Source organism: Homo sapiens, chromosome 15, assembly GCF_000001405.40.
Source record: "Homo sapiens chromosome 15, GRCh38.p14 Primary Assembly".
Classification (NCBI taxonomy): Eukaryota; Metazoa; Chordata; class Mammalia; order Primates; family Hominidae; genus Homo; species Homo sapiens.
The window spans coordinates 35,346,222-35,372,515 of NC_000015.10; the positions used below are offsets into that span (position 1 = coordinate 35,346,222).

General features: G+C 36.8%; 1 protein-coding gene and 1 non-coding gene across 11 annotated transcripts in view; both read right to left on the reverse strand.

Annotated features, from left to right (window-relative positions):
- Window positions 1-26,294, reverse strand: part of DPH6 (diphthamine biosynthesis 6) — a 401,189-nt gene that overhangs the window by 201,245 nt on the left and 173,650 nt on the right. For 2 of the 10 annotated variants that reach the window (XR_001751411.3, NM_080650.4), the window contains one exon: window positions 24,659-25,982. The exons of the other annotated variants lie outside the window; for them this stretch is intronic. Coding sequence is in view for 1 of the 2 variants with exons in the window: in NM_080650.4 (NP_542381.1) it covers window positions 25,929-25,982 (54 nt within the window). In the remaining variant the exon portion in view is untranslated. Of the gene's footprint in view, window positions 1-24,658; window positions 25,983-26,294 lie in introns of those variants that run through there. 10 annotated transcript variants of the gene reach the window in all.
- MIR3942 (microRNA 3942) lies at window positions 26,035-26,143 on the reverse strand. Its single transcript, NR_037507.1, has one exon. It is a non-coding gene; the product is annotated as a microRNA 3942 (primary transcript).

The following is a 26,294-nucleotide window of genomic DNA, read 5'->3' on the forward strand; positions in this document are numbered from 1 at the left end:
GAAAAATGTCTACAAAACCAGCAATTTGCCCCTAAAATGCTTGGTAAAATGTGTAAGTGAAGTCATCTACTCTTGGAAGTGTGTGAAGGTACTTAGTAATAGATTTAACTTCTTTAATAAATATAGGACTATTCAGATTTACCATATTTTTTGATATTGCAGTATTTTAGAAATTTTTCCATTTCACCTAAGTTTTCAAGTTTATTGGCAGAGAGTAGTTGGCAGTACTACCATCAGAAGGAATTACTTGATGTCTTTAATATTTCTTGTGCTGATTATTTTTACCTCCTCTCTTTATATCTCAATCAGTATTGCCAGAGATTGAGGAAGTTTAGGTATTTTCAGGTACTGAATGTGGACTTCCATGACTTCTCTATTGTGTGTTTATATTCGACTTAATTTCTTATTTTAACCTTTTTATTTCCTTATCTGTTTCTTATTGTTAAATTGTTGTTGTTTACCTACCTTCTTAAGAGGAATGCTTAGGTCATTGATTTTCAGCCTTTCCGTTTATCCAGTGTATACATTTGAGGCTACAAATGTCTAGTGCTTTAATATTACTTCACAATTTTGATATGTGAATTTTTTCATTAGCTTATGGTTCAAAAATTATTAATTTCTCTTTATATTTATTCCTTGTTCCATATATTTAGATATTTATTGCTTTTAATTCTCACATATTTTAAGATTTTCTAGCTAGCTTTTTTATTGTGGTAAAAAATGCACAATAAAATTTACCCTTTAAAAAAATTTTTTTTGTTACCCTCCCCTCTCAGGTATCTGGTTATAGCATAAAATTTACAATCTTGAGTATTTTTAAGTGTACAGTACAGTATTATTAATTATAGGCATCTTGTTGTGCAACAAATCTTTAAAACTTCCTTTTGCAAAACTGAAACTCTAAACCCATTGAACTCTCCTTTTCCCCTTCCACACAGCCCCTGACAAACACTATTCTACTATATAGTTCTAAGATTTTGACTACTATAGCTACCACATATACTTGGAATCATTCCATATTTGTCTTTTTGTAACTGGCTTTTCACTTAGCATAATGTCCTCAAGGTTTATTCATGTTGTCATATATGACAGAATTGCCTGTTTGTTTGTTTGTAGAGATGGGGCGTCACTTTGTTGCTCAGGCTGGCTCAAACTCCCGGGTTTAAGTGATCCTCCTGCCTAGGCCTCCCAAAGTGCTGGAATTGTAAGTGTGAGCCACCACACCCAGCCTCCTCCTTTTTTTTTTTTTTTATGAAGACTGAATAACACTCCACTGTATGGATATACTATACTTTCTTTAACCATTCATCTGTTGATAGACATTTAGGTTGCTTCCACATCTTGGCTATTGTGAAAAATACTGCAATAAACTTGGAGTCCAAATATCTCTTCAATATCTTATTTCAATTCTTTTGGATACATACCCAGAAGTGGGATTGTGGTATAATATGGTAGCTGTAATTTGTTGAGGAACCGCCATACTATTTTCCATATTGGCTGTATTCCATATTGGTGAGAATGTAAAATACATTTTACATTCTCACCAAAGTGCATGAGGGTTCCAATTTCTCCTCATCTTCAAGAACACTTGTTAGTTTTCTGTGTTTTTGTTGATTACCATCCCAATAGATATGAGGTAATATCATTGTTGTTTTGATTTGCATTTCCCTGATAGTGATGTTGAGCATCTTTTTATATGTTTGTAGGCTGTTGTATTTCATCTTTGGAAAAATGTCTATTCAAGTCCTTTGACCATTTTAAAATTAGATTATTATTATTTTCTTGGGTATTGAGTTATAGAAATTCTTGATATATTCTGGAATATTAACCCCTTTACCAACATATAGTTTGCAAATACTTTCTGTATTTGGTTTCCCAAACTTTTCATTCTGTTGATTATTTCATTTGCTGCACCAAAGTTTTAAAGTTGGATGTAGTCCCATTCATCTATGTTTACTTTTGTTGTCTGTGCCTTTGTTGTCATGTCCAGTAAAACACAGCCAAATCCAATGTCATGAACATTTCCTTCTATGTTTTCTACCAGAAGTTTTGTAGTTTAAAGTATTACATTTAGATATTTAATCCATTTTTAATTACTTTTTGTATATGGTGTAAGAGTGGGTCCAACTTCATTGTTTTGCATGTGGATATCCAGCTTTCCCAACATCTTTTGTTGAAGAGACTATTTTCCATTGTGTAGTTTTGACATCTTTGCTGAAAATCATTTGACCATATACATAAAGATTTCTCTGGGCTCTTTGTTCTGTTACATGGGTCTATAGGTCTATTTTTATGTTAGTATCATACCGTTTTGACTACTGTATATTTGTAATATGTTTTGAAATCAGCAAGTGTGATAACTACAGCTTTGTTTTCGTTATTGAAATAGGAAGTTGAGATTTTTTGGCTAGTCATGGTCTTTTGAGATACCACATGAACTTTAGGATAGTCTTTTTTACTTCTGAAAAAAAGCCTTTGGAATTTTAATAGAGATTTCAAGGAATCTGTAGATTACAGTACAAATATTTTAACACTATTAAGTCTTTCAACCCATGATCACGGGATGTCTTCCCCTTTATTTGTGTCTTGTTTAATTTTTTTCAGCAATGTTTTAGAATTCTCAGTGTATACGTTTTTTTCCTCCTGGAGCAACTATATCTATAAGTATGCTATTCTTTTTGATATCATTGTAAATTATATTTGTTTTCTTAATAATTTCCTTGTCAGGTATTTTGCTGATAATGTACAGAAATGCAACTAATTTTTGTGTGTCAATTTTGTATCCTGAAATTTACGAATTCATTTACTAGTTTTAACAGTTTTTGGGTTTTGTGTATTACATCTCTAGGGTTTTCTATATATAAGATTATGTCATTTGTGAACAGAGTTAATTTTACTTCTTCCTTTCTGATTTAGATCTCTTTTATTTCTTTTTCTTGCCTAATTAATCTGGAATTCCAACACTACGTTGAATAGAAGTGGTGAGAGAGGGCATCCTTCCCTTGTTACCAATCTTAAGAGGAAAAGCTTACAGTTTTTCACTTGTTACTGAGAAAAATAATAGCTATAAGCTTTTCATATATGGCCTTTACCATATTGAGGTAATTTCCTACTATTTCTAGTTTGTTTAGTAGTTTCATCATGAAAAGGTATTACATTTTGTCAAATGCCTTCCTTGGCATCCAGTTGACTACGTGCATTGTTTGTTTTTTTGTTTTGTTTTGTTTTTTTGAGACAAGGTCTCCCCCTCTGTCACCCAGGCTGGAGTGCAGTGGAGTGATTTCGGCTTACTGCAACCTCTGCCTTCTGGGTTCAAGCAATTCTTGTGCCTCAGCCACTGGAGTAGCTATTACTGGCGTGTGCCACCACACCTGGCTAATTTTTGTTATTTTTAGTAGAGATAGGGTTTCACCATGTTGGCCAAGCTGGTCTTGAACTCCTGACCTCAAGTGATCTGCCCACCTCGGGCTCCCAAAGTACTGGAATTACAGGCATGAGCCACTGCCCCTGGCCTATGTGGTTTTTGTCCATTATTTTGTTAATGTGATGTCTTAATTTGATTTTCATATATTGAACCATCTTCTTGCATTCTAAAAGTAATTGGTGTAACTCTTAATGTGTTGTTGAATTAAGCATGCTAGTGTTTTGCTGAAGATTTTTGCATCGACATTCATCAGGGATATTGGTTTGTAGTTTTCGTTTCTTAAAGTATCTGCCTGATTTTGGTATCAGGGTAATGCTGGACTTCTGAAATGAATTTGGAGGTTTGTTCTAAATTTTTTGCAAGAGTTTGAGAAGGATTTTTGTTAGTTCTTTAAATGGCTGCAAGAATTCTTCAGTGAAGTCACTGGTCCTAAGCTTTTCCTTGTTGGGACCTGTTTGATTACAGATTACGTCTCCTTACTCGTTATTGGTCTACAAAGAATTTTTATTTCTTCATGAGTCAGGCTTGGTAAATTCCTAGGAATTTATCCATTGCTTTGAAGTTGTCAAATTTTATTATTATATAGTTGTTTCTAGAAATCTCTTGTGATCATTTGTATTTCTGTATCATCAGTTGCAATGTCTTCTTTCATTTCTGATTTTTATTACTGGAGTCTGTTTTTTTTTTTTTCTTAGTCTAGCTAAGGGTTTGTTGCTTTTATTGATCTTTTCAAAAAACCAATTTAGTTTTGTTAATTTTTAAAATTGTTTTTATTCTCTGCTTCATTACTTTCTGCTCTAACATTTGTTAGTTTCTTCCTTCTATTAACTTTGAGTTTAGTTTGTTCTTACTTTTGTAGTTCTTTGAGATATAATGTTAGAATTTTTATTTGACATCTTTTCTCTTTTTAAAGGTAGGCATTTACTACTCCAAATTTCCCTCTTAGAGCTGCTTTTGCTGCATCCAATAAGTTTGGCTATGTTCTGTTTTCATTTTCACTTGACCTAAGATATTTTCGCATTTCTCTTGTGATTTCTTCTTTGATTCATTCATCATTCAAGAGTGTATTAATTTCCACATATTTAGGAATTTTCAAGTGTTCCTTTTGCTATTGATTTCTAGTTTAATTCCACTGTGGTTAGAGAAGATAGATGGTATGATTTCAATTTTCTTAAATTTGTTAAGACCTGTTTTGTGGCCTAACATGTCATCTTTAGAAACATTCTGTGGGCATTTTAGAAGAATGTGTATTCTGCTGTTGTTGGGTGGAATGCTCTGCATTTATCTATAAAGACCAATTTGTCTAGAGTGTTGTTCAAGTCTTCTGTTTCTTTACTTTTCTCTGGCTGATCTATACGTTATTGAAATTGGAATATTAAAATCTCTATCATTATTGTGTTACTATCTAATTATCCCTGCAATTCTTTCAATTCTTCATGCTTGCTGTATATATTCACCTAATATATATAAAATTACATCTTTCTGGGAACTGACTTTTTAAATCCTTATATGTTCTTCTTTGCCTCTTGTGACAATTTTTGACTTAAAGTTTATTTTGACTGGTATATCAACCCCTGCTGTCATTTGGTTACCATTAGTATGACATTTATTTCTCATCCTTTCACTTTCAGTCTATGTGTGTTGTTAAATTTAAAGTGAGTCTCTCATAGATAGCATATAGTTGGATTGTGTTGTTTTTTTATTTTTCCATTTAGCCACTGTATATATTTTGACTTGGGAAATTAGTACAGTTATATTTAAAGTAATTATTGATAGGTTAGGACTTACTCTTGCCATTTGGTTAATTTTTTCTTTCTGTTTTGTTCTCTTGCTCCTCTCTTCTTCTCATGTTGACTTGTGATTTGATGATTTTTCATGGTGATGTGCTTTTATTATTTTCTATCTTTTGTGTATCCACTTTACATTATTTTTGTGGTTACCATGGAGATCACATAAAATATTTTATGGTTACATCAGTCTGTTTTAAGCTCACAACCACTGATCTTAGATTACAGAAGTTACTCTATACTTTACTCCTCCCCAACACACATTTTATGTAATTGATGTCAGACTTCTTTTTTTTTTTTTTTTTGAGAGACAAGGTGTCACTCTGTCACTCAGGTTGGAGTGCAGTGGTGCAATTATGGCTCACTGCAGCACTGAACTCTTGGGATCAAGGGATCCTCTCTACTTAGCTTCCTGAGTAGCTAGGACCACTGGTGCTCACCAGCACACTTGGCTAATTAAAAAAATTAATAGAGATGAGCTCTCCCTATGTTGCCCATACTGGTCTCAAACTCCTGGGCTCAAGCAGTCCTCCCATCTCGGCCTCCCAAAGTGCTGGCATTATAGCTGTGAGTCACCTCACACAGCCAGATATTGCTTCTTTCTATATTATGTTTAAATTGAAAAATATTTGTGGATACAGTTATTCTGACTACTTCTGTTTTCTAATTTATGTAAGTATTAAATGTTAAGGTGCATGATTACAGTATTACAATTTTCTGAGTTTGTCTTTATGTTTAGCTTTCATACTACAATTTATATTTTCATATGCATTTGTATTATTGCTTAGCTTTTTTTTTGTTTCAACTTTAAAACTCTTGTAAAGCAGTCCTAGTGATAATGAACTCCTTCAATTTTTTTTATTATACTTTAAGTTTTAGGGTACATGTGCACAACGTGCAGGTTTGTTACATATGTATACATGTGCCATGTTGGTGTGCTGCACCCATTAACTCGACCTTTAACATTAGGTATATCTCCTAATGCTATCCCTCCCCGCTACCCCCACCCCACAACAGGCCCCGGTGTGTGATGTTCCCCTTCCTGTGTCCATGTGTTCTCTTTGTTCAATTCCCACCTATGAGTGAGAACATGTGATATTTGGTTTTTTGTCCTTGCGATAGTTTGCTGAGAATGATGGTTTCCAGCTTCATCCGTGTCCCTACAAAGGACATGAACTCATCATTTTTTATGGCTGCATAGTATTCCATGGTGTATATGTGCCACATTTTCTTAATCCAGTCTATCATTGTTGGACATTTGGCTTGGTTCCAAGTCTTTGCTATTGTGAATAGTGCCACAATAAACATACGTGTGCATGTGTCTTTAGAGCAGCATGATTTATAATCCTTTGGGTATATACCCAGTAATGGGATGGCTGGGTCAAATGATATTTCTAGTTCTAGATTCCTGAGGAATCGCCACACCGACTTCCACAATGGTTGAACTAGTTTACAGTCCCACCAACAGTGTAAAAGTGTTCCTATTTCTCCACATCCTCTCCAGCACCTGTTGTTTCCTGACTTTTCAATGATCGCCATTCAAACTGGTGTGAGATGGTATCTCATTGTGGTTTTGATTTGCATTTCTCTGATGGCCAGTGATGATGAGAAATTTCTCATGTCTTTTGGCTGCATAAATGTCTTCTTTTGAGAAGTGTCTGTTCATGTCCTTCGCCCACTTTTTGATGGGGTTGTTTGTTTTTTTCTTGTAAATTTGTTTGAGTTCACTGTAGATTCTAGATATTAGCCCTTTGTCAGATGAGTAGATTGCAAAAATTTTCTCCCATTCTGTAGGCTGCCTGTTCACTCTGATGGTAGTTTCTTTTGCTGTGCAGAAGCTCTTTAGTTTAATTAGATCCCATTTGTCAATTTTGGCTTTTGTTGCCATTGCTTTTGGTGTTTTAGACATGAAGTCCTTGCCCATGCCTATGTGCTGAATGGTATTGCCTAGGTTTTCTTCTAGGGTTTTTATGGTTTTAAGTCTAACATGTAAGTCTTTAATCCATCTTGAATTAATTTTTGTATAAGGTGTAAGGAAGGGATCCAGTTTCAGCTTTCTACATATGGCTAGCCAGTTTTCCCAGCACCATTTGTTAAATAGGGAATCCTTTCCCCATTTCTTGTTTTTGTCAGATTTGTCAAAGATCAGATAGTTGTAGATATGTGGCGTTATTTCTGAGGGATCTGTTCTGTTCCATTGGTCTATATCTCTGTTTTGGTACCAGTAGCATGCTGTTTTGGTTACTGTAGCCTTGTAGTATAGTTTGAAGTCAGGTAGCGTGATGCCTCCAACTTTGTTCTTTTGGCTTAGGATTGACTTGGTGATGCAGGCTCTTTTTTGGTTCCATATGAACTTTAAAGTAGTTTCTTCCAATTCTGTGAAGAAAGTCATTGGTAGCTTGATGGGGATGGCATTGAATCTATAAATTACCTTGGGCAGTATAGCCATTTTCACGATATTGATTCTTCCTATCCATAAGCATGGAATGTTCTTCCATTTATTTGTGTCCTCTTTTATTTTGTTGAGGAGTGGTTTGTAGTTCTCCTTGAAGAGGTCCTTCACATCCCTTATAAGTTGGATTCCTAGGTATTTTATTCTGTTTGAAGCAATTGTGAATGGGAGTTCACTCATGATTTGGCTCTCTGTTTGTCTATTATTGGTGTATAAGAATGCTTGTGATTTTTGCACATTGATTTTGTATCCTGAGACTTTGCTGAAGTTGCCTATCAGCTTAAGGAGATTTTGGGCTGACACGATGGGGCTTCCTAGAGATACAATCTTGTCATCTGCAAACAGGGACAATTTGACTTCCTCTTTTCCTAATTGGATACCCTTTATTTCCTTCTCCTGCCTGATTGCCCTGGCCAGAACTTCCAACACTATGTTGAATAGGAGTGGTGAGAGAGAGCATCCCTGTCTTGTGCCAGTTTTCAAAGGGAATGCTTCCAGTTTTTGCCCATTCAGTATGATATTGGCTGTGGGTTTGTCATAGATAGCTCTTATTATTTTGAGATATGTCCCATCAATATGAAATTTATAGAGAGTTTTTAGCATGAAGCGTTGTTGAATTTTGTCAAAGGCTTTTTCTGCATCTATTGAGATAATCATGTGGTTTTTGTCTTTGGTTCTGTTTATATGCTGGATTATGTTTATTGATTTGCCTATGTTGAACTAGCCTTGCATCCCAGGGATGAAGCCCACTTGATCATGGTGGATAAGCTTTTTGATGTGCTGCTGAATTCGGTTTGCCAGTATTTTATTGAGAATTTTTGCATTGATGTTCATCAGGGATATTGGTCTAAAATTCTCTTTTTTTTGTTGTGTCTCTGCAGGCTTTGCTATCAGGATGATGCTGGCCTCATAAAATAAGTTAGGGAGGATTTCCTAACTTATTCCTGGATATCCTTGTTAACTTTCTCTCTTGTTGATCTGTCTAATATTGACAGTGAGGTGTTAAAGTCTCCCATTATTATTGTGTGGGAATCTAAGTCTCTTCGTAGGTCTCTAAGGACTTGCTTTATGAATCTGGGTGCTCCTGTATTGGGTGCATACATATTTAGGATAGTTAGTTCTTCTTGTTGAATTGATCCCTTTACCATTACGTAATGGCCTTCTTTGTCTCTTTTGATATTTGTTGGTTTAAAGTCTGTTTTATCATAGACTAGGATTGCAACCCTTGCCTTTTTTTGTTTTCCATTTGCTTGGGAGATCTTCCTCCATCCGTTTACTTTGAGCCTATGTGTGTCTCTGCATGTGAGATGGGTTTCCTGAATACAGCACACTGATGGGTCTTGACTCTTTATCCAATTTGCCAGTCTGTGTCTTCTAATTGGAGCATTTAGCCCATTTACATTTAAGGTTAATATTGTTATGTGTGAATTTGATCCTGTCATTATGATGTTAGGTAGTAATTTTGCTCGTTATTTGATGCAGTTTCTTGCTAGCCTCGATGGTCTTTACAATTTGGCATGTTTTTGCAGTGGCTGATACCGCTTGTTCCTTTCCATGTTTAGTGCTTCCTTCAGGAGCTCTTTTAGGGCAGACCTGGTGGTGACAAAATCTCTCAGCCTTTGCTTGTCTGTAAAGGATTTTATTTCTCCTCCACTTATGAAGTTTAGTTTAGCTGGATATGAAATTCTGGGTTGAAAATTCTTTTCTTTAAGAATGTTGAATATTGGCCCCCACTCTCTTCTGGCTTGTAGTTTCTGCCGAGAGATCAGCTGTTAGTCTGATGCACTTCCCCTTGTGGGTAACCCAACCTTTCTCTCTGGCTGCTCTTAATATTTTTTCCTTCATTTCAACTTTGGTGAGTCTGACGATTATGTGTCTTGGAGTTGCTCTTCTCAAGGAGTGTCTTTGTGGCATTCTCTGTATTTCCTGAATTTGAATGTTGGCCTGCCTTGCTAGATTGGGGAAGTTCTCCTGGATAATATCCTGCAGAGTGTTTTCCAACTTGGTTCCATTCTCCCCGTCACTTTCAGGTACACCAACCAGATGTAGATTTGGTCTTTTCACATAGTCCCATATTTCTTGGAGGCTTTGTTCATTTCTTTTTATTCTTTTTTCTCTAAACTTCTGTTCTCACTTCATTTCATTCATTTGATCTTCCATCATTGATACCCTTTCTTCCAGTTGATCGAATCGGTATTGAAGCTTGTGTATTCGTCACATAGTTCTCGTGCCGTAGTTTTCAGCTCCATCAGGTCATTTAAGGATGTCTCTGCATTGGTTATTCTAGTTAGTCAGTCATGTAATCTTTTCTCAAGGTTTTTAACCTCTTTGCCATGGGTTTGAACTTCCTCCCTTAGCTCAGAGTAGTTTGATCATCTGAAGACTTCTTCTCTCAACTCGTCAAAGTCATTCTCTGTCCAGCTTTGTTCTGTTGCTGGTGAGGAGCTGCATTCCTTTGAAGGAGGAGAGGTGCTTTGATTTTTAGAGTTTCCAGTTTTTCTCCTCTGGTTTTTCCCCAACTTTGTAGTTTTATCTACCTTTGGTCTTTGATGATGGTGACGTACAGATGGGTTTTTGGTGTGGATGTCCTTTCTTTTTGTTAGTTTTCATTTTAACAGTCAGGACCCTCAGCTGCAGGTCTGTTGGAGTTTGCTGGAGGTCCACTCCAGACCCTGTTTGCCTGGGTATCAGCAGTGGAGCCTGCAGAGCAGCGGATATTGGTGAACAGCAAATGTTGCTGCCTGATCATTCCTCTGCAAGTTTTGTCTCAGAGGAGTACCTGGCCATGTGAGGTGTCAGTCTGCCCCTACTGTGAGGTGCCTCCCAGTTAGGCTACTCGGGGGTCAGGGACCCACTTGAGGAGGCAGTCTGTCCATTCTCAGATCTCAAGCTGCATGCTGGGAGAACCACTACTCTCTTCAAATCTGTCAGACAGGGACATTTAAAACTGCAGAGGTTTCTGCTGTCTTTTGTTTGGCTATGCCCTGCCCCCAGAGGTGGAGTCTACAGAGCCAGGCAGGCCTCCTTGAGCTGCAGTGGGCTCCACTCAGTTCGAGCTTCCTGGCCACTTTGTTTACCTACTCAAGCCTCGGCAGTGGCGGGTGCCTCTCCCCCAGCCTCTCTGCCGCCTTGCAGTTTGATCTCAGACTGCTGTGCTAGCAATGAGCGAGGCTCCGTGGGCGTAGGACTCTCCTAGCCATGTGCGGGATATAATCTCCTGTTGTGCCGTTTGCTAAGACTGTTGGAGAAGCGCAGTATTAGCGTGGGAATGACCCAATTTTCTAGGTCCCGTCTATCACCGCTTTCTTTGACTAGCAAAGGGAATTCCCTGACCCCTTGTGCTTCCCAGGTGAGGCGATGCCTCGCCCTGCTTCAGCTCACACTCGGTGTGCTGCACCCACTGTCTTGCACCACTGTCCGACACTCCCCAGTGAGATGAACCCGGTATCTCAGTTGGAAATGCAGAAATCACCCATCTTCTGCGTTGCTCACACTGTGAGCTGTAGACTGGAGCTATTCCTATTTGGCCATCTTGGCTCCCTCTGTGTATTTTATTTTTGTTTTTGCTTTTTAACTTGTATTTTGTTTATAGGTTCTGTGTGATTTAGCATTAAAGAGGTTCTGTCTTGTTGTGTTTTCAGGATTTATTTCAAGATTGAAAGCTCCTTTTAGTTCTTGTAGTGGTGGCTTGGTAATGGTGAATTCTGTCAGCATTTGTTTGTCTGAAAATGACTGTATCTTTCCTTCATATATGATGCTTAGTTTCACTGGATACAAAATTCTTGGCTGATAACTGTTTTGTTTGAGGAGACCGAAGATATGGCCCCAATCACTTCTCGCTTGTAGAGTTTCTGCTGAGAAATCTGCTGTTAATCTGATAGGTTTATAGGTTTATATGTTACCTGGTGCTTCTGTCTCACAGCTCTTAAGATTCTTTCCTTTGTCTTAACTTTGGATGACCTGATGACAATGTGCATAGGTGAAGATCTCTTTGTGATGAATTTCCCAGGTGTTCTTTGTGCTTCTTGTATTTGGATGTCTGGGTCTCTAGCAAGGCTGAGGAAGCTTTCCTTGACTGTTCCCCCAAATATGTTTTCCAAGCTTTTAGAATTCTCTTCTTCCTCAGGAACACGAATTATTCTTAGGTTTGGTTGTTTAATGTAATCCCAGGCTTCTTGGAGGCTTTGTTCATATTTTCTTATTCTTTTTTCTGTGTCTTTGTTGGATTGGTTGAATACTTTGTCTTTGTGCTCTGAATTTCTTTCTTCTACTTGTTCAATTCTATTGCTGAGACTTTCCAGAGTATTTCACATTTCTAACAGTGTGTCTAAAGTTTTCTGAATTTTTGATTTTTTTTTCTTTAAGTTATCTATTTCCTTGAATATTTCTCCCTTCATTTCTTGTACCATATTCTGGATTTCCTTGCATTAGGCTTTGCCTTTCTCTGGTCCCTCTCTGATTAGTTTAGTAACTAACCTCCTGAATTCTTTTTCAGGTAAATCAGGGATTTCTTCTTCATTTGGAGCCATTGCTGGTTAAACTAGTATGATTTTTTTGGAGGCATTGAAGAGCCTTGTTTTGTCATATTACCAGGGTTGGTTTTCTGGTTGCTTCTCATTTGGGTAGCCTCTGTCAGAGGGAAGTTCTAGGGCTGAAGGCTGTTGTTCAGATTCTTTTGTCCCATGGGGTGTTCCTTTGATGTAGTACTCTCCCCTTTTTCCTATGGATGTAGCTTCCTGTGATCCAAACTGCAGTGATTGTTGTCTCTCTTCTGGGTCTAGCCACACAGCAAGTCTACCTGGCTCTGGGCTGGTATTGGGGGTTGTCTGCACTGAGTCCTGTGATGTGAACCATCTATGGATCTCTCAGCCAGAGATACCAACACCTGTTCTGGTGGAGGTGGCGGGGGATGCAATAGACACCATGAGGATTCTTAGCTTTGGTGGTTTAATGTTCAATTTTTGTGTTGGTTGGCCTCCTGCCAGGAGGTGGCACTTTCCAGAGAGCATCAGCTGTGGTATTATGAGGAGGAACTAGTGGTGGGTAGGGCCCTAGAACTCCCAAGATTATATACCCTTTGTCTTCCGCTACCAGGTTGGGTAGGGAAGGACCATTAGGTGAGGGTGGGGCTAGGTGTGTGTGAGCTCAGACTCTCCGTGGGCGTGTCTTGCTGTGGCTGCTGTTGGGGATGGGGGTGAGATTCTCAGGTCACTGGAGTTGTGTACCTAGGAGGATTATCGCTGCCTCTGCTGAGTCATGCAGGTTGTCAGACAGGTGGGGGAAAGCTGGCAGTCACAGGCCTCACCCAGCTCCCAGCAAACCCAAGGGCCGGTCTCACTCCCACCATGTCCCCTCAACACCCCCCAGACTGTTTCTAGGCAGAGAGCAATACAGGCTTGAAAATCTACTGCAGGCTGTCTGACCCCAACCTGTGAAAGAAAAGGGCTTGGTTCTTCCCCTGCCTGTGGAGTCTGCACACCAGATTCGCGCCCTTCCCCAAGTTCTGGACAGAAGGCTTCTCACTCTGTTCAAATTGTTACAAAGTTCAGCTAGAGATTTGCTTCTCTCTGTGTAGTTTTACTCCCTGCTTCTCTCCCATTGGATCCCTGTGGTGCCAGGCAGGAATGGCCTGCTAGAGGACCCAGTGAGCTCCCAGGGCCTTTCTGCTGCTTCCTCCACCCCTGTATTTTGCTTGGCTCTCCAAATTGACTCAGCTCCAGCTAAAGTCGGAAACTTCTCCCATAAACAGACCTTCAGTTTAGCCAGTGGGTGCATGTTTGGGAGAGAAAGGTCTCCCTTTGCCACTTCTGCAGTTGGGGCACTCACAGTTTTGGGCGGGGGGACTCCTGGGTCCTGCAGGAGCAGTCCACTTCCTTCAGAGGGTCTCATTGTGTCTGTTTTTGGAGTCATCTTCTAAGTTTTTCAGTTCAGTCATTGTATTCTTCAGTTCCAGGATTTCCATCTGGTTGTTTTTTTAAGGTTTCTATATTTTTTTCAAAATTAAACTTCCCATTTTATTCATGTATTGTCTTCCTGGCTTCAGTAGTTGTCTATCTTTGTCCTCTTATAGCTTATTAAACTTCTTTAAAATGGTTATTCTGAATTCTTTGTCAAGCAGTTCATGCATTTCCATTTCTTTAGCGCTGGTTATTGGAGCTTTATTCATTTCCTTTGGTTATGTTTGCTTGATTTTTTGCACCATTTAGCCTTGCATTGTTGTTCTATGCATCTGAAAGAGCAAACACCTTTTCCAGTCTTTAACAGACTGATTTTTGCAGGTAAAAAACTTCTCCTGCTGGGTCCCCAGATTGATAGGGCTGCCTCCAAGATCACGATTAACTGGGGCTAGAGCTGTCTCACATGGATGCTGCTGGGTCTGTAGTCAGGTACACAGTTGAAGGGCCTGTTACTGCGGGCACAGGTGGGCACAATTCCTGCCTGGTACCAATCAGATGGGACTACCTCTGGAACCATGGTCAAGCAAGGTTGGAGGTGGGTCACAAGAGGACTTCTGGGTCTGCAGATGGCAGGCCCATTAGCAGGGTCTTAATAGGCATGGCTCCTACTAGACACCCATTAACCACAATAGATGGGGGATAGAGTCAAGTCATAGGGCTGCTTCAGCACTGAGGTAGGGTGAGTTCAGCAGGCCTGTTACCAGGGCTATGGATAGATGTGTCTTTTGAAGGTAACATATGTGGGTAGCACTGCCCCCAGGCCATAGCAGAGTGGAAATGGAATTAAGTCACAGGACCAGTTCAAGGTCTATAGCCAGATACCTTAATGGTGTGCCTGCTATTGGGGGCATAGATGGGTGTATCTCCCAGAGGGTCCCTGGGATGGCAGGACTGTCTCTGGGCTATGGTAGATTGGGGGCATAGATGGGTGTGTCTCCCAGAGGTCCCTGGGTTGGCAGGACTGTCTCTGGGCTATGGTAGATTGGGGCTAGAGCCCAGTTAAGGGCCACTTTAGTGTACACAATTGGGTGTGAGGTCAGCAGGCCTGCCACTGGAGGAATGAACAGGCATATCTCCTACCAGGTCCTTGGGTAGGCAGGACTTCTCCCTACAGCAAAGCAGGGCTGTAGCTGAGTCACAGGTCTCAGGATCCACAGCCGGGACTAAGTTTGTTGGCCTTCTAATGAAGGTATAAGCCAACCTGATTCCTCCCATGTGCCCTGACAAATGGGATCATGGGCAGGACAGAGACCAAGCGTGTCCGGAACTGAGACTACGGGAGAATAGGGCTGTTACTGACATGCAGCTGAGGCCACTGTCAGCTAGCCTGCCACTGGGGCATAGGCTAGTCTTCTCAAAGTGGCCCTCCAAAGTCTTGGGCATCAGTGAGGTTCTGCATCCTCCTACCTGGATCTCAATACTCCCACAAGGGCATTTTCGTCTGTGAATGTTTGCCAAGTTATTGTTAATATTGAGGGATATGAGCTGGGGAACCTCATTTTCCACCATCTTGCCTATGTCACTCTCTAACTTTCAACAGTTTGATTGTAATGTATCTAAGTGCAGGCCTTTTTAGGTTTGTCTTATTTTTAGTCCTTTGATCTTGAATTTGGATATCTACATCATTTCTCAGATTTGGGAAATTTTCAGCCATTCTTTAAATAACCTCTCTTTTTTTTTTTCCCTCTCTTATCCTTCTTGTACTCTCATACTGTATAGATTGGTCTGCTTGATCATGTCCCATAAGTTCTTTAGGCTTTCTTCACTCTTCTTTCTTTTTTTCTCCCTTTTTTATACTCTGACTCAAAAAATTCAAATGACCTGACTTCAAGTTTCCTGATTCCTTCTTCTGCTTGATAAAATCTGCTGTTGAACCTCTCCAGTGAATTTTTTGGTTCAGTTTTTATATTCTTTGGTTCCAGATTTTCTATTTCCTTTTCATACTTTCTATTCCTTTGTTGGTTTTCTCATTTTGTTTATGCATCATTTTCCTGATTTCATTTAGTTGTTTATTTTAATGTTTTCTTACAGCACATTGAGCTTTGTAATGATTACTTTGAATTCTTTGTCAAGTAATTCATATTAATAGATTTTCATTTTTTCAGAGCCAGTTTCTGAAGATCTATTTTGGGCCTCCGATTGGGTCATGTTTCCCTGTTTCTTTATGTGTCTTATTTGTTACATTTTTTGCATTTGAAAAAGCAAATGTCTCTTCCAATCTTTATAAAGTGGCTTCACACAGGGGAAGACCTTCACCAGTCAACCCAGTTAGAAATTTTGGGTCCTCTTAAAGCTTTTCTGGGGATGCCTCTTTCCTGGGTTTGTGCATGTAATTTCACAAGGAGAGAAGTTTTCCAGTTTCCTTTTCAGAAGCTTGTGATCTCTTACTCTGTAGAGTGTCTGTCTGCAGTGCTACAGGTTCTCTGGAACCATTACAAGCCACTGAGCTCTCTTTGCAGCTTTCTTTTCTGTTCTCTGTGGCCCTCAGGAATCCAAAACATGTCAGTTCTGTCAGCACTCCAAGTCAGGAGAGACAGTAACCAGACACTTGGGTAGCCATCTGAAAATCTGGAATACTGGACACATGTTCTGCCCTTCTCTTACCCTCCTGTGGGAGAAACTGAGTTGGTCACTTTAACCCAAATGTGGCAAGCTCTGCTGGCCTCCATCTTTATTATTGCCAGTTTTCAGGCATTGTAATAAGCTTCTAAACTTTCTATTTTTCTTTGTAACTTGTAGGCATCCAAAGTATGTCAGGACCCTGTCTGCACTCCAAGTCTGATGAGATACAAACCAGTCCCTTTAGTCATTGCCCCAAAGAGTTGGAATGTACCTTTAACATTCCACTATTCTTTTCTCCTCCCAAGGGAGAAGCCATGATCTTTCTGATCACACCAAGTTGTGCTGTTTTTGGGGAGGGGGCATCACAGTTGACACAGATGGCTTTTCTTACCCAATGTGGTTGTTTTTGACTCTGAGCTTGTCTGGGGTAGTGTGACTTTACTGGTTTCTAGAGTTCTCATAAAGGCTCTTTGAAGGATATACTGTTGTCCCCATGGGGAAATAGGGTTGGTCACTTCCCACTCTGCGATCTTACTAGTATATTTCTTTCTAGCCATCTTTTTTATTACTGATTTTTAGCATAATCTTATTGTAATATAACATTCCCTGCATACTTTCATTCCTATGACATTTGTAGACTTGTATTATGGCCCTGGGTATAACTAACTTTTGTATAATTTCTAGTTTCCTTGAAAATAATATGTGTACTGCACTTGTTGGGCATTGTGTTTCTATGTTTGTAGGGTCACGTTTGCTAATTGTGTTATTTTAATTTTCTATATCCTTGATGATTTTGTCTGTTTTTAAAATCAATACTTGAAAGAAGCGTGCAAAAATCTTGAATTATGACTACAAATTTGTCATAAGGAAATCCCCTACTGTCAATTTCTGTTACATATTTTAAGATGGTAATTATATATATACAAATTAAGAATTGTTATATCTTCCTGAAGAATTGAGCATTTTAACATATTGCAGTGTACTTTACAATAATGCTTTTCATTTATTTTGTCTTCTATTAAAAGACATCTACATAAACTCTCTTTTGCCTAGCTTTTGCATGGCACATGTTTTCACACTCTTACTTTCATTCTTTCTGTGCCCTTATTTTTAGTGGTGTCTCTTTCAAAGAGCATAGACTTTGGGTTTGCCTTCTAGTCAATCTAATATTTTTTGTCTTTAAGTGAAACAGTGGTACAATTATATTTAATGTAATTATTGATATATTTGCACTTAAATATATAATCTTACCCCATGATTTGCTTCTGCTAGTTGCTCTATGTTTATTTTAGCTTACTGTTTTGCCTTTTTTCTTTTTCTATTGCCTTTTAAAAATTATTTTTCATTATTCTATTTTTTCGTACTTCATTAGATTATATTATACTCATTTATATTATTTTAGTGGTTATCCTAGAATTTATGACATGTTATCTACATCTATGAGGGTTACTATGAATCTCAACATTTGCCTTTTTTTATATACAATGCAAAAACTTTAACCATTTAACTCCACTTCTCTAACACCCTTAGTTATGTGCACTGCTTTTTATTTAATTCTATGTAGATTTTAAACTCGGAGACATCATGTTATTCTTACATATAGTTAATATCTGCTTATATTTTCTCATGTTTACTCTTTTCATTTCTCGTTGATCTCTTTCCTGCATCTCTGATATTCTATCTGGAATAATTTCCTTCTGCCTTAATATCCTTTACTATCCTTTGGTGTGGATATTTTCTGGAAACAAATTTTCTTAGTTTTTGTTTGAAAAATCTTTAGTTTCATGTTTTTTCCCAACATATTTTGAGGAAAAAATTTATATATATGTGGAAAAGCCTAAAGGATTTTACAATGACCACCTATATATCCACTACCTACACTCTACAATTAGCACTTTGTTCTATTTATCACATACCTATCATTCGCCATCAATCCATTTCATATTTTTAATGCATTTCCCAGTAAGTTGCAGACATTACTCTTTATTTAGACTGTGTCATGCATGTTATTAACTAGAGTTAAGTATTTATATCTTCAAAAAAAAATTACACACAGCAAAATGAATAAACCACAACTGAACTATTAAATAAATTTTGACAAACAGATTACTGTCATCCTGGAAATTCCTCCACTTTTATTCTTGAAGGATATTATTGCTGGGTACAGAATTCTAGGATGGCATTTTCATTTAGCACTATAAAAATTTGATTTCATTGACTACTGTCTTCAATATTTCCATTCTAATTGTTGCTTCTTTGAAAGTAGCCTGTTTTTAACCCACTTTGTTTTCAATTTTTTTTTTCCTTTTTCTTTTGTTTCCAGCAGTTTTACCATCATGTGCCTGAATATCTACTTTTATTTTGTTTGGGGTTCATAAGACTTCTTGAATCTATACTTTGGTGTGTTTTGTTAATTTTGGGAGGCTCTTAGCTACTATGCTTTTAAACATTGCATCTTCCCCATTCTCCCTCTAGTCTTTCTGACACTCTAATTACATGTATTTTTGAGCTTCTCACTATTTCCATGCCTCTTAATTCTTTTATGTGTATTTTCTATCTTTGTTTCTCTTCATGTTTCATTCTGAATATTTTCTTCTGACCTCTTTTCCAGTTCACTGAATTGCTCTCTGGCTATATCTACAAGATATTGGAAAGACCTTAACCCCTTTTCTCAAACACAACTCAAACACAACTCACAACTAACATCTGCCAATGTGACCAAAAGGACTGGTAATATGACCCTCAACCTGGGCTTAAATCTATCATTATAAGTACTTCAGGATTCCTAGATCACGCTTATTCCCTAAAACCCAATCACCAAATCCATGGTCAGTGAGGCAACTTTCTCATGAACACATCTAATGTATTTTTATTTACTTTTCTATCTGTCTCACTCCATAGAATACAAGCTCCATGAAAGCAATATTTTTTAACTGTTCAGTTCACTATTGTACACCCAATGTCTAAACAGTGCCATGCATATAAGAATAAGCAGTCAATAAATGTGTTCTGAATGAATAAATCGTATGAGGATTATCTTTTATTACAAATCACCAAACTGGAACTTTATGAAAACAGCAATCAGAAATTTTATTTCTTAAAACAACAACAACAGCAACAGTAAAAAGCTGAATTGGTTAGCATAACAACTAGGTAAATATAAAAGCTAAAAAAGACAGTCAATTGGAGTTTGGAAGCATTGATTGTTACTTTTATTATTATCCTCTCCCAAACTGATAAGTCTTACATAGATTTAGGCTTCAAAAACACTCTTGCATTGCCCAGTTTGATTCCCAACACAAATGATATCATCACGGTATGGCGTTGCTACTACCAAAGTCCATTTACTCGAGACAGAAATGAGTCAAGTAGTCCTTTAAATGTGGGTGAAACTGATCCTTGATTTATTAATCTGCTCCAGTGACCATTTATAGCAACAGTGACCCAGCAGTACCTACAGCCCAGCACCCATTCAAGCCCCAAGTTGTCTCATTTAGTTTTACAGCATTAGGTTTTAGACTGGTAAATACCTTGCTCCATCTTGACAAATCACTTTTCTGCTCCTTAGCCTAAGGGCAAAGGTGGGGAGAGACAGGGTAGGAAAGTTGTGCTGAACCAAATGTTGGCAAATAAAAGTCATCATTTATCTTCTTACTTTCTTTGTCCTATTTGTAAGGAAATATTTTGTAGGTTGTATAGAGGCAGTGGCAGCATACCTCCATGGATGGGATCCTTGAGTTTATACACGTTGCTATGAGTGATGACAGCAAATTCCCATGCACAACATACTCAAGAGGCCTACCATCCCAACACTTTTAGTCATCTTGTGTGTGTGTGTGTGTGTGTGTGTGTGTGTGTGTATACATATAAAATTTTCTGAAGGGGTCTTTTTATAGACTTAACTATAGGATCAACTAGATTTCAATCCCCCATTGTGAGTAATGTTTTCACCTGAGTTCAATGGAAAGTTTTAAAGGGCCCTATTGTCTCTTTCTACCAAGACTAGTGAAATGTTGAAGAATAACATTTAAGTGTTTATTTAGCACTGAAACTCACTATACTGCTCTCTCTTAATTTTCTTAATCAGATATTTAAAAAAATTAAAAATACATGCTCATTGTTAAGAAGCCACAGATTACAGATATATAAAGAATTAAGCTTCTCTGTTTACTCCCTTCCTGCTCCCTTCCCCAAAGAATCCAATATGATCAGTCTGGTGATTATATGCCATCTCTTACTATCCTCATTCATACATAAATAAACATATAAGCTCCCGGCCTCCACCACCATTTTGAGAAAAACAGGATCATAACTCACACATCACCATTTGCCATGAATCAACAACATATTATGGCCATAACATCAGTTCAGGTTAGCAAAACTGGAGTTATCTGTCAATGTAATCATAACATTGGGAATAATGATTACAGTGGTACCTTCATTTTAGCATTAAGACTAGAATTACTCTGTAATTTACCTACATTTATAGTAGATTCCATGTAGACCTAGTAGTTTTTTAAACAGAGTAGGTATTCAAGATACATGCTGGATTGAAGAGAAAAATAAAAACACAGAGATGGCTAAACATTATAAAGTTTTTCAAGGCATTTGATGATATATCTCAAATAAAGCAAAATAAAATGAAAGAGCCAAGAATGGGCTGTAAGACTGATGATGTTTTTAAAAGTGACAACTTTTAAAAGTGTGTGCTTTTATTATTATATAAAATATATAATTGTCCCAGGAAATTATTTCAACAAAAAATAAACTTAAGTGCTGATTATAGGATACATTAGTACTTAGGAAATTATTTCAACAAGAGCACGATTAAATACTAAGTGAAAGTAGGGAACATTAATAAAATTGAGGTTAAATTCCTGTGAACTTTGTCTTTCTATAAATACAATTGCTTTGCTAATAATTAATTTAAAATACTATTTTCCATAAAGCTGTTAGAAAATCTAAAACAACCTCATAAGGAAGAAAGAGCCTTCTGAGTAGTTGCAAGTAAAAGTCTGATTTTTCTGTTAAAGGTTATACATTTTAATATGATTTTCTGATTGATTTATGTAAAGCTTTGGATTTTTCATTTTCTCAAGCCTGTCACTGCAGTGATGCATGGTATATTTTACTATCAAATTTGCCATAAGCAATAAAGTTGGGGCCCCAAAGAAATTTTAATATATTTCTCCGTTTTTATCTCACAGCTTTCTATTATTTGGTTATTTTGTTTAGAATCCCATGTTTAGTTGATATCATTTTTACATTCATATAAATAATTTAAAATTTTAACTTAAAGGTAAAATTTAAGTAGATTAATTATTTAATAGAAAAGTTTAAGGGTCATCATATGTAAAGTGAAAGTCTAAATGATAAATCAAAATTTACACTAACAATATTTTTAAATGTTTTATTTTACATTCTAGTTGCTTAAAGCATTTTTCTCTAACAAGATAAATGGAAAAAAAAATAGAACTCATTAAATGGCATATAATGTGAAATGGAGACACACCTGTAAGATTCTTTATGAATAAAAAATAAAATATGAAAATAACAACCAATTAAATTAAAAAGTTCTTATTAGAACTAATAGCTGTTACAGAATTTATGAAGATGAAAATGGAACAGTAGTCAAGACATCTGTATGTAACCTAGTAGAAAGAATAAGTCCTTAAACAACTAAACATAAAGCAGAATAAATAAGGTTATTTGCAACAAGAAAGGAAGAGAAACAAATTGACAGGGCAGTTCATCTCTTGTGCCTAAAGGTATAAGAGTATTTTAGTTCAATCTTGCATAGTCTGTAGGATTAAGTAGTTAAAAAGAGAAGAAGAAAGGAAAGCCGGTAAGACAGAATAAGGCAACGAAGGAGAGAAGCAGGAGGCATAATCAGGGAGTGGCCATTGGTTCAGTATCACTAGAGCAAAGTGGACAGGCAGGGGAATCCTAGGAGCAAGACTGAAAAAGGATGCTATGGCCATATGTCAGATAGCCTTCCATTCATGGCTAATAATTTTATTCACTTAGAAAATAATGAAGTACTATTGTGGAATTTTGTGCAGGGAGTCATACACTAGAAAGAAAATCTATATGGCAGTGAAACTGACTATAGAGAATATGAAAGCAAGGATTCGAATTAGTTGTATCTTGTCCAAGAGTTGGGTAAGATATAAATTTAATGAGAGATAAGCATGGGGATGGAAATATGTGCATATTAGGACTAGAATATAAAAGATTAGATAATCAATTGAATTTTCATAGTAAATGAGAGGATAGCTTAAGAGATGATTCCAACATTCTGTGGTTGAGTTACTATGAGGAGAACAGTTGTGTTAAATAACAAAAATAGGGAATAAAGACACTTTGAGGGGAAAATGAGTTCAAGTTTTGTACATAATGAGAATGACATGTATTGGTAGCCATGTGCAGCAGCCAGTCAGAAATAAGAACCTAGAGTTAAGGAGAAAGTAGATGTTAGTAAAAGACTAGAAAGAGAGTGACTTTAGAATCATCTGGATAAAGAGGTGAAAAGTAAACTTGCAGAAAATACATAATTCCAGAAAAAGAAAATATTGAAAAAGAAAAGAATGGACCTATAAAAAGAACTTGCAGCATATGTGCATGTTGAAGGTAAAAAGAAGAGAAGCTACTGAAGAAGATAGGAGAAATCTAAAGAAAGGCAGAAAAGTCAGACTAGTACAGAGGCATATGACCATTATAGGGGAAATTTTCAAAGAGATGGTGGCCAGTATTATCAAGGAAAGGCATTAAGGATTATGAAGAATGAAAAAAGGCCAACAGCAGTTCATCAAAGTAATTAAGGTCAAGCTAGATTGCAAATGTGTTATAAAGCAAATGAAAACTGATGGAATTTAGAAAACAGATTGATTTTAAGAGTGGTATTCAGGGTACTACATTCTAGATATTACTAATATTTGGGGTGGAATGTTAATTCGTTAAGATGCATCTGAAATACAATGTGATTTTGATAAAATATGTAGAAGAGTACCTGACATTTTTGTTATCCAGCATTTATTCATCTTTCTTTTGGTAATCATACTTCATTTTCTGTCTAAAGAATTCCTTCTCTACCATGTGGGTTAGTTTAGGAGTAAAGCTGGCAACATGTGAAAGTTTAGCCCTGGACCCTGTGACTGAGAGGCATATCAACTAACTCTGAATTCACACCAAGAATACCACCTTAAAGCCTGTTATATGAAAAAAAAAAAAAGAAAAATCCCAAATAGTCCTAATTGAGCCAACATGTAACATATTAAGCTATAACAATGAAGAGAAAAAAGGTGTCTAAACAAAATTCCAATGAATGAAATCAAAGAACTAAACAAAGAGATATTGCATGTTCATGGATAAAAAGACTCAATATCGTCATGATGTCAATTCTTCCCAAATTGATCTTCAATCCCAGTCAAAATCCAAGCAAGTTTTTTTGTGGATACGGAAAAACTGATTGTAAGGTTTTTATCAAGAGACAAAAAACCCAAAATGGTCAATACAATACGGAAGAAGAAAAAAGTTGGAAGACAAACACTATCTGACTTGAATATTTACTGCAAAGCTATAGTAATCAAGACTGTGGTATTTGCAAAAGAGACAAATCCATCAGTGGAACAGACTGGGGAGCCCAGAAATAGACCACACAAATATACAAAAGAACAAGGCAATATGATGGAGAAAAGATAGTCTTTTCAAGAAATGGTGCTGGAACAACTGAATAACTACATTTTTAAAAAACGAATCCATATATAGATGTTATGTCCTTTACAAAAATGAATTCAGAATGTATCACAAACATAAACATAAAGCACAAAGCTATCAAGCTTCGACAAGATAATCCAGATGACCTTGGATTTTGCAATGATTTTACAGATAGATATAACATTAAAAGCATAATACTAGAAAAAAAGAATTGATAAGCTGGAGTTCCTTAAAATTAAAAACTTGTGCTTTGTAAAAGACACTGTTAAGAGAATGAAAAGACAAAACATAGAATGGTAGAACATATTTGCAAATACATATTTGATAAAGAACTGTTATCCAAAATATGCAAAGAACTCTTAAAACTCAATAATAAGACAAAAACCCCAATTAAAAATAGTCAAAAGATCTGAAGAGACATCTCACCAAAGGAGATACACAGATGGCAAACAAACATGAAAAGATGTTCAACATCACATATCTTTAGGTAGTTGCAAACTAAAACAACAATGAGAGAACACTTCAGACCTACCAGAATGGCAAAAGTCCAAAATTCCTACAATGCTCAATGCTGGTCAGGAGGTGGAACAACAGAAACTCTCATTCATTGTTGGTGGGAATACAAAATAGTACAACTACTTTGGAAAACAGTGTGGCAGTTTTTTTTACAAAGCTAAACATAATCTTACCATATGATCCAGTAATTGTGCTCCTTGGTATTTATACACCTGAAAAAAACTTATCTTCACACAAAAACCTGTTCATGGATGTTTATAGTCGCTTTATTCATAATCGCCAAAACATGGAAGCAACTGAGATGTTCTTCAATAGGTGCATGGACAAATGAAATGTGGTAGAACCAGACAATAAAATTTTATTCTACACTAAAAAAAAAATGAGCTACATATACATGACAAGATACAGAGAAACCTAAATGCATATTAATACATGAAAGAAGCCAATCTGAAAAGCTATATACTGCATGAAAAGCTATATACTGTATGATTTCAACTACATTACATTCTGGTAAAAGCAAAACTATGTACACAGTGAAAAGATCAGTTGCTAAGGGTTAAAGGAGAGGGAGGGATGAATAAGTAAAACACAGAGGATTTTTTAAGGCAGTGAAATTATTCTGTATAATACTATAACGGTTGACAAATGTCATTACACATTTGTCAAAACCCATATTATGTACAACACCAAGAGTGAACCCTCACGTAAACTATGGACTTTGGGTGATAATAATGTGTCAATGTAGGTTCATCAGTTGTAACAAATGTACCACTCTATTATAAGACATTGACGGTAGGGGAGGCTGTGAATGTGTGGAGGTAGAGGGTATATGGGAAATCTCTGCATTTTCTGCTCCATTTTTGCTGTGAACCTAAAACTGTTCTAAAACATAAAGTCTATTTTTTGTAAAAGTTTTCTAAGGTCAACATAGTTAATACTGAAAAACAGCATTTTAAAAATCAGTTATAAAATAACTTGTAAGAGTTAAGGACATTCTTCCTAATTGTCCAATAACGTTGAAACACTTCAACCATGAATATATTTAAAATAAAAATGATAAATCGCTTTGGCGACACCCAGTAGAATAAGCTTGACTGGCTAAATAAAGTGACCATCTTTTCATCTTCATTTTCAAATGCCTCTGCATCATGACATTATTGGTAGGGATTGGAGCAAGAAAGAGAGAAGGAGGAAAAGAAACTAGTGTGATAAAAAAAGAAATGCTACAGAAATGGGGTTTATAGATGAAATAAAAGAAAAAAAAGGTCATAGGGAAGATGTGTTAACGAAAGAGAAAGAGTGAATTCCAAGAAAGTTGGCACTATTAATGAACATGCCGTCGACATTTTCCCAATTAATAAATGGTTCCACTAACCTCTTCTAGTGAAAGTATGTTTCTCTAAAAAAATAAGAGTCATGAGAAAAAAATAAACTAGTCATAGTAACTGAGAAAATACTATGCAATTTTTTTGTATAGAAATGGTGGTTTAATGAACAATGTTCCAAAACACTTTTCAAAAATTATATATATAATTAGATGTTCTGTAGTTGTCAGGCACTGAGGACACCTAAAAAAAAAAGGGAAGGAAAGGGAAGGAAAATGCACCATATTTATTCAGTGTCAGTGAATATGACACTTCAAAGATGTAATACTGTTATCTGAAATACTGTTATCTTCGCAGCCTATTTCAGGTAACAGTATTGCTTCTTTGAGGTGTCATACTGAAGACCAATCAAATACCAAAACAACGAGGTGAACAGTGAGCTATTCGGGTAGAGCTGAACATAGAATGGCTGGAATGCCTACACATGAATTCAGTGCTTTTGACTTTGTGTGTGCGTACATGGTAGCAAAAGTAGCAGAAAACTACAAGTTAGGG